We start from the raw sequence: 13000 nt of genomic DNA on the forward strand, positions 1-13000 counted from the left end.
TTCTCTAGAGATTCAGATTCTTTTGACCAACCTGATGTTTCAACAGCTTGAAAAACGAAGGAAAGAACCATGTCTGTCTAGACTGACCAGAAAGCAAAAACAAGGGATACTTTGAAATCTGACCACAACTGAGAGTTGTACTTAGTCCAAGTAACTGGAAAATCAGTTTCTTGGATTAGACAAATGCTTCCCTTAAGACTCTCAAACTACTAGCTTTCTTCTTTTATAATTAATAGAAAATTATTACACTGACAGACAAGAGACTTCATATTTGAGCCAATGGGAAAACTTGACGTTGAAACCAGGGGAAATAATTTAGCCTCAAATAGAGTTGTTAATGCCAGGATAAAAGCAAACAAATGTGCTAATGATCTTCCTTGAGAATCTGACTGTGATGAATTTTGATGAATTCCCAGATGGAAAATATATCAGTTCTCCCTGGGCTGGGAATTGGACACTAGAATGAGAAAATGGTGAAATGGGAGTCAGCAAAAAGCACTCCGAAGATCTTATTTCCATTTTCTAGAGAACAAGAATTCTAAAGAGATAGATAATTCCCACTTCAAAGAACCAGATCTGTGTGGTTGTAAGCATCTATGACAAAGTTGGTGGTGGGCATGAGGCAGGGGGATGTCCTGATTTCCATCATAGAATCTGCCATTGCTCTGCTGGCCTATAGAATTGATGAGAGGGGAGAGTTTGATACAGCAGCTGCCTTGATATTCTCCTGTGCAGTCATGTTATCACCCAACAAACATTCATTGCCATCTCCCATATGCCCAGCCCTTTCCTAGGCATATGGCAAAGAAGAGAGACAGTCTTTGCTATTGTGGAATTCTCATTCTAGTGGGTCTAGAATTCTCATTCAATTCCCACCACTAAAATATGAACAGACAATAAATACATGCATAAATAAATGTAGAAGGTCAGATAGTAGTCAGTACTATGCAATTAAAAAACAAGTGAAGGTGAAGGGAAAACAAGTGCCATGTGCCAGGGCACAATGGATGGTGGTATGTTGCTATATTAACTGGGGTTGGAAGAGGGGAGGCCTCACAGATGATGTGACATTTGAATAAGGACCCTAAAGACATCATGGAGAAAGATGAATATTTGGATAAAGAGTATTCCAGGTACAGGGAATACCAATGCAAAAGCTGTGAGGTGTGAGTTCTTGACAACATCAATAAATGTCCAAGAAGTTAGCTTGATTGAAGTAGAGTCAGCAAACCAAAGAGTGGTAGCCCATGCATTATGAGATAGAGCTGGACACATGGCGTGGTCTTGTGCTGGGGAACACAAAACTCTCCAAGGAAGACTCCATGCAGTAGATGAGAGGATGGCTACACGTACACATGGATTGTGAAGCAGCTGACTGGCCATGTTGAAACTATAATAGACAACTGAAACTGGAATAGGCAAGGAAAAAGAAGCTGGAGTCAGTTTGACAGGATACAGCTAGCAGCTTTGTTTTCAACTGTGCTCCAAATATTGTTGCAACTTCCACAACTTTTCCTTTCCACTGGACGTGCTTACTTTCACCTCCAAACCCATTAATATATCTTCATCCTTCACAGCCTAGTTCAGGCAGTCTGGCACCAGTGTGGACACAGTTGAAACAGAATGGAATGTGGAGCTTCAAAAACTGGAGTTCAAAAATCTGCCTTTGTAATTTAGTAGTTGTCTGAGCAACGTATATAACCTCTTTGAGCCTCAATTTTGTCATCAATAATAACAAAATGTTTTAAATGTATAAAGTGTTTAAAGTATTGCCATTATCCAAGGAGAGTAATTCTGTTATTTACAGCAGAGGAAACTGAGGGGCAAGGGTTAAGTAAATAACCCATGATTATTTCTAAATTGTAGAAATGTGAAAATGCTAGCACTTGCAGGATTTGAACTCGAGCAATATGGCAACTCATGTATTTAACCCCACATACCTTGCAGGATGGTGGGCTTGCTGAAAGGGATTATCAAGAAAAAAATAACAAAGAAGATACTCAGTCATTGTTAGTTCTTGGCCACTCACACATTTTTGATTGCAAGTGACTGAGGAATCAACCCAAAATTACTTATGCCAAAAGAAAGTTTGTTGGCTTTTATAAATAAAAATTGGCCCTAGGCACTAGGGTCATGCTAGCTTCAGCTACTGCTCAATTTAGGTTCCAAGTTGCTATCATGATCCCATCTCTTAGCCCTGCTTTATCTATTCCTTCTTTTTCATGTTCCATGTGGTGAGCCATGGCAGCTTCAGTTCCACAGCAATACAACACCCAATCCAGTAGAGGAGAGGAGTTCACTTTCCTGATGGGTGACCATGTGTTCTGGTTTAGCTGGAACAGTCACCCAGTCCAATAGAAAAGAGGAGTCTACTTCTATAATAGGAGATACATCCAGAATTTCCCAAGACAGTCACCTAGTCCAAAGGAGGTGGACTGATGGACAGGATGACCATAGGTCTGGTTTTCCCAGGCACTCTTTATTCACATCTGTCATTGCAGCTTGATTATTAATTGTACCTCCATTCTCTCTCAGAAGTGTCCCAATTTATGGTAGATGTATATGGTCATTTTACTGATAGTACAAAGAAAAATAGTCTCATTAATCTTTGCCTCAGATACAAAGTCTTCCTCTAAATCTTAAGTAGTATTTACTTAGAGGAGAGAGGGAGAATGTGTCCACCAAAGAATAATAGAGGGCCTGTTATCCCAAGAAGTGGGGTGGTGGTTCTGGATGGCCAAAACCACAAATGTAGATTACAGTTCCCCTTTTCTCTTCATACTGTTCGGTACTGTTTAGCTGTAGAAATGGTTTGGGAGTTGGAAAAACATGGGTTTGACTCTTGACTCTACTGCTGCGTGTAGCTCATTCACCTTAGTGGAAGCATCTTCCCTTTCTAAAGCCTCGGTTTTCTCATACATAGAGAAAGCTCATCATGTTTGCCTCAGTGAGTTATTATGAGGAGTGAATAGACTGATAGACATGAAGGATTCAATAAATCAATAGCTACTGTTTTTCCATAGTGCCTGGAATACATCTTACCACACAATATGTGGTCAGTAAGTACCTGGTGACCGGTGACTAGGACAGGAAACAAACAAGAAAGGACCGTGAACCTCATAGTGGGTGCAGGGAGGCACGGGGTGAGTGTAGACAAGAGTTGCTGTCAGTGGTGGTGGGGCTTAGTGATCAAGGAAAGGAAAACACTTTGATGCTGAGTGAGGAGATTCATGATCCAACTGAAACATTGGGGAAACCACTGAGAAAACGTCCTTTTTAGAACTACTGGGGAAATTAGAAATTATTAAAATTTAAAACAGTAAAAATATTTACTAGACACCCACATTGGGGCATACAGATATGAATAATTAATGGAGCCTACTCCCAAGAATTTGGGAGGAAAAAACTCATAAATATACAGAATTATGTTCTACTTACAATTTATATATCATAGCTAGAGAATGATAAATGCCATAATCTTAAACATAATAGTTCTTTGATTGGATGAACAAAAGGTTGTAGGAAATACCCAACTGAAGTGCTATGAGAGGTTAAAGGAAGAAGAAATCCCGCCAACAGGTAGAGCAGGAACAATTTGGGGAACTGGGGGGTTCTTAGAATCAGGTCATCAGTGTAGCTGGATTTACATGTAGGGAAGATCAGAAAGTATTGGAGGCCTTGGACACTCCAGGTGCACTCTTACCCTTGTGCTTTTGTTTCCTTTGCCTAGGTTGCTCTCCCACAGGGGTCCATAAGACCTGATCCCTCACTTCCTTGAGTGTATTGCCAAATGCCACCTCTCAGTAAGGACCTCCCTTGCTCTCTGTGTAAAATTGTGACACCTACTACTGTGTTTTTGTTGTTAGTGATTGCAGCTCTCTAACCTGCCATATACTTCAACTGTTTATCTTGTTTATTCTCCATCTTGCTGCTAGAATGCCAGCTCCATGAGGGCAGGAATTTTTACCTGTTTTGTTCACTGCTGCATCTCCAATACGTAGAATATACCCAGCACATAGTAGGTGCTCATATTTTGTAACAGGAAAAGAAGAAGGGAGTCTGACTGAGGGGAAGCATGAACCAAGGTACAGATGGAATGTGGAACTGTGTGCAGCAGATACTGTGTTAGTGCAGGCAGACTGGAGTATGCATGTGTGTATGTGCATGCTTGTGCGGGGGTGAACACAGTAGAGGACATTTAAACAGGAAGCACATATTGGGGCCAGACCTTAGAGGACTTGAAGACTAGGCCAAGGAACTCAGCTTTTAGTCTGCATGTCATAGAAACTATCAAATGTTTCCACCAGGAAATTGATATGAACAAGTTGTTTGAAGAGGATTGATCAGACAGTGTTGTTTGTAGCAAGAGTAGGCGTGGAAAGAGGTTAGAGGTAGGGAACAATGACCAGGTGCTGCATAAAAAGCCAAGGTGGCCTTAACCGAAAAAAAAAAAGGAGGTGGGAAATGGAGAGAATAAAGGGAGATGTGCAAAAGAAGGGTATACAAAGAGATAGAATTAACAATATTTGATCCTGTTAATAAAAGGAATGCTAGAGAACATGTACTAATATTAGTGGGATGACCTATATATGCAGTGATTGATGTGACAACAGCTCTAACATTAATAGTCAGAGATGATGACTCTTAGGTATGGAAGGTACCACTCTGTCCTTAGGAACAATTTCCTTACAGCGAAAATAGTGCTTCTAAATGGTTTCTATTTATTTTACTCTTTTTTAAACTAGTTAACATAACACAATAACAATTCTAGTATGTGAAGACCTTGAGTGTCTGCCTTCCTTTGGGACAGATCTACAGTCACTCCTAAAAGTTAAATATCATGACATCTCTATCTCTGTGACTCTGATTTTCTTTTTCACAAGCAAGGTTCCCACCAAAGGAAACTGCAGATTTGCACATTGGGAAGACTTAATAGAGAAAGCAGAAGAATAGAGAATGGAATTGTCTAAAAGCGGAAGTAGATAGCAGAAGGGATTTGAGTCTGAAAAACAGAGGAGTCCCTCCTTATTTTCCAAGCAGCCAAGAATTGCATCTTCAATTGTTCTGAATTTTTTGCTCTGTGTGTGTGTGTGTGTGTGTGTGTGTGTGTGTGTGTGTGTGTGTGTAGGCATGTGCATGCATATGTGGACAGCTACACATATAGGGCTGCCAAGGATGGCCATAAAGGCTGTGTCTTACACGCCTCAAGGAGGCTCTATTCACATAGGCCATAATGGCAATGCTGCTTTCTGGAGTTGTGCAATGGGATGGCCCTGCTTACGAGAATGTAGAGAAGAGAACTAACTTGAGAAGTGGCTGTGCTCTTTCAAAGTATCTCACCTTCCCACATCCCATAAAATCTGCAATTTGCCATTACAGGTTAATTTATTTGGATTATCATTATGTAGTCTATCAGTTTGAGTTAGTTCATCCAACTATTCTCTTCAGTGGCTAAAGAATCCATGACTTTCTGAGAAATCTTGGATAACAAGGGCCTGAAAGATCTAAGACTGAAGATAAGGAAGATGGTGGAGGGGTGGGTTCTGACAACAAACTTGGCCTATTTTACACACAATTGAGTCAAAGGCTGCTCTGCTCTGAGCAATACTGGAGAATTAAGTTAGGGTCAGATGGTAGTGGGTCTTAAATGCTGAGCTAATCTAGGAAATAGGGAGCCATTAAAGGTTTTTAGGAAGAAAAATGCATGGAAACACCGATCAGTCAAGCCTCCTTGTCTCCAAACATCAAACTGCTGAAGGTATCCACAGACTCCCACCTGAGTATCTCTGAGAAGGTCCTTGTTCTCTTCCTCATCTCTGTCCTTCCATGCAAGCTGACTGATCCACATCAACTCAATTCAATACATATTTACTATGCATATATTACATATCAGTGCTCTTACAAGTTTCAGAAACAGCTGCTTAAACAGTACTATTCTCTGACTTCCCCTCTCATTTTGAATATTTTCTTTCATTTCCTCCCATTTGCAATGCCTTGGGTGACATTCCTTCAGGAAGTAAACTTTCCAAGTACTGTCATGTTAGAGCCTTAGGAGAGATCTGATGTGGCCTAGAGTGTTAACAGGAGTGCTCTGTACGATGAGAAATGTATGTTTTCTTTACTCTGGCCAGATGTTTCTAGACCAGAAAGTGAAGGTTTTTTCAATATTAGCATGTAGTATATTTAACAAAGTGCTTACTGAAAATCCCACAAAATATGTCTTTCCTGCATATTTTTAAAGCGTAGAGGCGCTCACCTTGGTTTGTGTAAGCATTCAGTGGTGCATGTTATACTTTATCTTGGCTGCTGTGATACATATTGGGAGGGTGGCTCTCTCTGGACTCCCGGCGAAGTTGGCAAGCTGTATCCAAAGTTGGTCCAAGGATAGGGTGGCTTGAGTGAGTTATGTGCGAGAGCCCTCACTGTCTGCTATACAAATACATGTCTAAATTCACAGTCTGATTCATCACACCCGCTGGCAACTGCGCCGACCAAAGTCAGGTTCTCAACTGCTGCTTGGACTATGGCTATGGCCTACCTTCTTACTGTGCCCTGGCTTTAGTCTTGCCACCCTCCTGCAGCCTCCACGTTGCTGCCATATCCTTAAACAAAATCAGAATTTGACTCTTGTGTTTTTTAAAACCTCCAGTTTCTCTGCAGGGTAGATTGACAGCAGTGATTTTCATTGAGGGTCAAGCCATCCCCAGAGAGATATATCCGAATCTGCACAAAGGGTGTGCTGGGGAAGAGAGAAGTGTGGCTTTAAAAGCCATATCTAGCATCAGCAGTGCCTTGGATTTCTTTTGAAATTGTTAATAATATTTATGGACTGAATGTGATTAATATTTATTTAAAGTGGGCTACTGATCTCTAGGAAGAAGTCCACACTTCTTGTTCTGCCATTCAAGGCCCTACGTGATGTAGTACCATTAGTAATTTCCAGAACAGTCTCCTGTTTTCATATTACCAGTCTCTGTACTTAACGTTGATAATATTAAGAAGAGTAGGTCTTTGAGGGACATTTACTCTGGTTGTAGAGATAGATGCAAAAAACTAATTTTACACGGTATGAGATGTGTTATTGTAGAGATATTTACAAGGTGGGTGGCAGAATAATGGAGGGGATTCACAAATCTGTTTCAGAGGAAGAGTTAAAGCTGCTGGAGTTGCATCATAAAGGCTGTAAAGACAGGCAGATTCAAGACAGATGCTGGAGGTGGAATTGACAGGACTGAGACCCCCCTCTTACTAGTCCCTGATGGAAAAGGGGAATTGAGGGCAGTGCTCAGGTATCCAGCTGGGATTCCATATGAACAGTGGCACCATTAAGCAGGTCAGAGCTCTGCTGTGGACATGTCAGGTGTGAGGTGCCCCTGAGATGATCACGTTGTAATGTCCACTACAGAGTCTGGAACCTAGAAGGGATATCTTGGCTGGAGAAATCAACTTATAGGTGATAGTGGAAGATACAGGTGTAAGAGCTAACCAGAGTGAGCATATAATATTAGAAAAGATAAAATGAGACAAAAGGCATTACGCAAAAAGATGAAACCAAAGCCAGAACTGCAAAGAATATCTTCCAATATATTTTTTAAAACTTTAATAGAACTTGAAGGGGTTAAGCCTTTTTCTATTAAAAATTTAAAAATATGTTATAAGAAGAATCACCATCTGAATATCCATACATGGAATTATATAAAAGTGGCCAGGGCATTTGTTCTTAAGTTGAAAAGAACATATCCAAAAAAACAAACAAACAAAACAAAACAGAAAAACTCAGGTCTTTATATCTCTCCAAGTCTATTCTCCAATAATAGTATACTAGTAAGCTTGATTTAGAATTGCCTCTGTGTCCTTGCCAGTTTACATCTTGGAAGCTTGTTTCTATTCATTTCATAAGCCACAACGTATTTGATCATTTCTAACATTCACAATTTTCACATTAAAATTGATGATGTGTTATAGTTTAATAGCAGTAATCGTCTTTCTCAGTGGTATATAAAATAATTGTGCATCTTGCAGTCATTGGCCCATTCAATTCAAAGTCAAAGTGGTAATTGCTTTGTGCCTTCTGCTATGGGCAGCAGGAGGATGCCCTTTGGAGCTGAGAAGGATGGAGTGAAATGGTCCTGTCCACTCCCTGCCTTCACTCTCCACCCGAGCCAGCCTTAGCGGTCTTCCTGAGGTGGCAGATGGAGGAGCCACAGTCCTCTCATGAAATGTCAGGAGCAGAGCATCAAGGGCTCTGGCAGGAGCTCAGATCCTCTTATCCCAAAGTTTTGCAAGCCCTAAGAGGGCTGAGGAAAGCAAGAACCCAGTGGACTCGTAAAACACAAACCCCTCTCTTCACAGAGGGTCGCCTTGTGTCGTTGAGGGTTCTGGTTGCATGCAGCAGGCATCATCTCTGGTGGGACTTACTGGAAGGAAATCTGGTGCTGACAACGCCTCTAGTGGGATTTATTGGAAGGAAATCTGGTACTCACAGAATCAACAGGAGGCAGAAGGAACAGGTTTGAAAAAGCGTGGGGACCGAGGGAGCTCTGGAACACTGGGCCTCTGGAACAATCTTGCCAGGATGTTGGGCGTCACTGCTGCTACTGCGTTTTCCTCCAAAATGAATCCTAACTTTTTTCTCAGCTCTGACTCCAAGGATCCAAAGACAAAGCCTGAGTTAGGAGCGACCAGTCTGACTCCCCAGATCCTGTCTGTGCCCTGGCCACCAGGAGATGAACAGCAGGAAACTCTTTCCCCCTGGGCTTCGAGAGAGGAAAGTAGGATCCAGCATATCACCAATCCGGATTGCTGCAAAGGGAATATGCCCCAGACAGAAAGGGGTTTTGCATTATACTGTATTGCCAAACACTGACAAATGTTCCACTGCACTCCCCTTCAAATACCTCACATTTGTAAGGCTATCAAAACAAGTCAGCGAGCAGAGGACTGCTGCATACTAAAACTGTCTACGTCGGCTTCATTCAGAGCCATGGACTAGTGGAGGAAACGAACTCTTCTGGAGCTCAGGCAAAGGGTCGAGCCTCGTGCTGAGTGTGTTATCTGTGATTGCTGCATAATATGTAGTTACTCATTCTTAGACCTCTGAAAATCTTAAGGGAGGAAGACAGTGGTTACCAAAGATTTTTCCAACCAGGAGGAATGAATGTGGCAACTGGAGACAGCAGAATATGGGTATTAAATAAAATAATGTATCTAAAAGATGCCATTGTTTAGAAATTAGCCCCTTGGATTGACAGGTAATTAACTTCTGCCACTAGTTTAATTTCTTGTGTGGACCTGGATAAGGGAAGCCATACATGGGTGGTAATTTTATTCCCTCCAATCTCAAAGGAAACGTAACTGGGTATGAAGTAGTGGCACAACTCATATATCAGTAGTCTGTAGCAGGTCTACATAAATCCTTTTCTTTAAAGTTATTTAACTGTTTTGAAAATGGTTTCAACAGAAGTAATTCCAACTGCACCAGAAAGGAAACCAGAGTTTTAAAGAAAAATATACTCTCTTTGCTGAGCAAGGCAAACATATCAGTATGCAGAGAAACAAACCAGTCTCTTGTGTTTTATTTCCTTTGCAAATCCACCAAAACACTTACTTTATGTCTTTAAAAGGCTGATAGACAAAGAATTCTGTGACCACTAAAAATTAATACCTACAACTGGTTTGTAGACACTTTAAAAGGGCAGGTACTATTTTTTAAATTTCTCTGTTTTTCACAGTTTCTCATTATGGGACTTTGTACATACTATAAACACAATACATATTTGTTGTGAGTGTTTTTTTAGACCGATCAAAAACATATTCTCTGGGGAAGCATTTTCCATTCAAGGAATTAGATAACCTGCTATTTCCTCACATGCTTCTATGCATAAACCTAGACATTGTATCACAAACCTAGTCCTTTTTATAGCCAAGCCCTTCACAGAATAATATTTTTCCAATAAGCTCGTAGTGGCATTTTTGGTCATGGTGTTTCTTTTTTGACTCTTCTGAGAATTAATGTTTAAAATAAACACCCTTATAGCTGTGAAAGATGAGAACTTGTTACTATTTAAGCTGACTAATTCAAAGTCATTTGGTAAAACTACTTTCAGTTTTAAGAACTAGAAGATTTAAGTGCTCAAACTAGATGGCTCTAATAAATGCACAATTATTATCTATAGTCAGTATAACTAATTATCAGTGAATCCAGACCTTGATCCATTACTCCCCTCACGTCCATGGATTGAGAAGCAAGAATCTATTTGTTATTAGTCTTATTTCCTCCAAGGTCTTCACACAACTCACTCCCTTAACTCCATTAAGTTTTTGCTCACATGTCACCTCATTGTGGCCTTGGTGGACCTTTTCACTCTGTTTTAAATTGAGACTCTCCCACTCTTGACCAGAATGCCTAATCTCTCTTTCCTATTTTGTATTTTCCCCCATAGCATTTGTCTGACACAGTATATATTTTGTTTTTTTATTTGTTTTTGGTTTCTCTCCACTGGAATGGAAGCTCCATGAGCACAGAGATTATTTTGTCTGTCTTGTTCCCTGGTGTGTGCCCAGCACCTGGCACATAGTAAGTGCTCAGTCAATATTTGTTAGACTCTAAGGCAATGTTTGTTTTGAAGATTTATGCTTAAGTATGTTCCCAATGACCTTGATGGTTTAAAAAGCAATTTTGTATTGGTTATTTTACTTAGTTATTCTTACAACAACGTGTTTTAAGGAAGGATTATTATCCCACTCCAGCAGATGAGAAATGGGGGCTCAGAGAGTTCCTATGAATTGGATAAAACCCAGGGGCCAGCAAGTGGTGGACTCCAGCCTGGAACAAGATCAAATACTTCCTTTAGGGTGCTGCTCTCACCTAAGCTGTGAATCTTTCTGGCTGGGGGAATTAACACTTCATATTAAGCATTGCCGGCCAGGTCTCAAAGCAGTGGATTCCAGAATGAAAATTAGAACAGAATGTGGTTGTAGAATACCTGATAAATAAAATAATCCATTATGTACAGCTCTCAAGGGTGAGAAGCATACCTTCTCAGCTACAACTTGTATTTGTTCACCTCCTGAGTGTGGAAGAACAATCCATGTTGAGGCCATGCAAGTCCACCTCAAAAAGTCCCTGCAAAGCCTCCTTACCTTGCAATAGAACATTGCAGCTGCTTGTATTTCAGTCCTTTCTCCATGGCATTTCTATTTCACATCATGCTGTGGTTCAGGAGGCAGTTTGCATAGTGGTTAAAGATCACAGACCCCAAAACAGGCAGAGCCAGACAGAACTTGAAGCGGGATGTGGTTGCAGTTCCTTCGGGGGAAATTATTCTGTCTTCTCATCTGTAAAACTGGGCTAATGGTACTAAGTTCTGATAAATAAATTAGATTATACAAGTGATGCACTCATCACTGCCTTAAGTGTTAGTGAATATCTCCTGTATCCCTTCTACTAAATTGTAAGATTGTAGAAGGAAATGCACTTACTGGCTTTATTAGTTTTCAAGTTTTGCTATAACAAAATACCACAAACTGGCTGTTTAAACAACAGAAATGTAATGCCTCACAGTTCTGGAGGCTAGGATCTGAGATCAAGAAGTCTGTGGGCTTGGTTCCTTCTGAGGACTGTGAGGAAGAATCTGTTCTCCTAACTTCCGGTGGTTTTCTGGCACTCTTTGGTGTTCCTTGGCTTGTAAAAGCATCAGGCCGATCTTTGCCTTCATCTCCACATGGTGTTCTTCCTATGTTTGTGTGTCTGCATCCAATTTCCCCTTTTTATAATGGCACCAGTCATGTTGGATTAGGTGCCCTACTCCATTATAACCTCATTTGAACTAATTATATCTGCAGTGACCCTATTTTCAAATAAGGCCACATTCTGAGGTACTGGGGTTTATTACTTCAACATATGAATTTTGGGGACACAGTTCAACCCATAGTTCTGGCCTTATCACCTTTGTTTTTTGTTGTATTTGCCCTGTACTTAATAAGTGGCAGGGCATGGCTGCTGAATCTGTTAAAGAAATGTCTCCAGAAGGTTCAGAAATAAAGCCACTTACCAACAGCTGAGAGGCCTTTTGAAAACTGCCTCTTCATCCAAGGATTACTGAAAGAGGAAACTTCTCTCTAGCTAGTTCTTCACTAGACTTTGTGTTTAGTCCTTGGGTCAGGAAGATACGTCATGTCGAGATGGATATTTTGATTAGGACTTTCCAAATGGAATTTTGTGTGTGTGTGTGAAGAGATAGCATTAATATGTTCACATACGGATAAGGACATAGATATGCTATTTATAACTTAACTTTTAAAAGATTTATTTGTTTAAAAGTCTAGGTAACAGTGTTCTTTTCAAAATTTTAGGTGCGACTTTTCATCTCATAACTGTGACCTCAGGTTTGTGTGAATAATAAATGTCAGTTCTTTAAAATGTTTTACATCCTTTCTTATATATGTATAATGTGGTTATAAAGTAGTGAGCTTGGCTCCACAGTCTACCTGCATGCCTATAGAGTATGATATTTCAATTAAAATTCATGTTTTCAAAATTCTAATATCTAAATTGCAATGCTATATTTTACATATCTGTATTTTTAAAATTGATATTCCTACCACAAATCACTTGCTTAATATTAGTTAGAATTCTGTAAGTTGCTTACTTAGAATTTTGTAAGTTACTTATTTATTTGAGCATTTAAGTGTGCATTTATAATGTATTCTAAGTGATTGGTGCTGAAATTTTGAGTTGATAAATCTCAGGATTTATTGTGATGGAAACGGGACTATCTACAGAGCTTGAGATTTTATAGGTCTGTAAATATTTGTTGAATGAGCGAACATATGGGGTGGAGGAAGAAGCAAAGTCATTTCTTTTCAACTCTCTTTGAACCAATGAAATCAATAACCTACATGGAGTACAATACCATATTTAAAGACTGAAAGCAAATTTTAATTTTTTATGTCGTTTTATTTTCTATAATTTGGATTTTCTTGTGACACCTTGACACTC

At 40.0% G+C, this 13000-nt stretch overlaps 1 protein-coding gene across 5 annotated transcripts in view; it reads left to right on the forward strand.

Moving 5' to 3' along the window:
- The window catches only part of DYNC1I1 (dynein cytoplasmic 1 intermediate chain 1), a 337769-nt gene that overhangs the window by 191192 nt on the left and 133577 nt on the right, over positions 1–13000 (forward strand). The window lies entirely within an intron of this gene.

Source organism: Homo sapiens, chromosome 7 (assembly GCF_000001405.40).
Source record: "Homo sapiens chromosome 7, GRCh38.p14 Primary Assembly".
NCBI classification, from domain to species: Eukaryota; Metazoa; Chordata; class Mammalia; order Primates; family Hominidae; genus Homo; species Homo sapiens.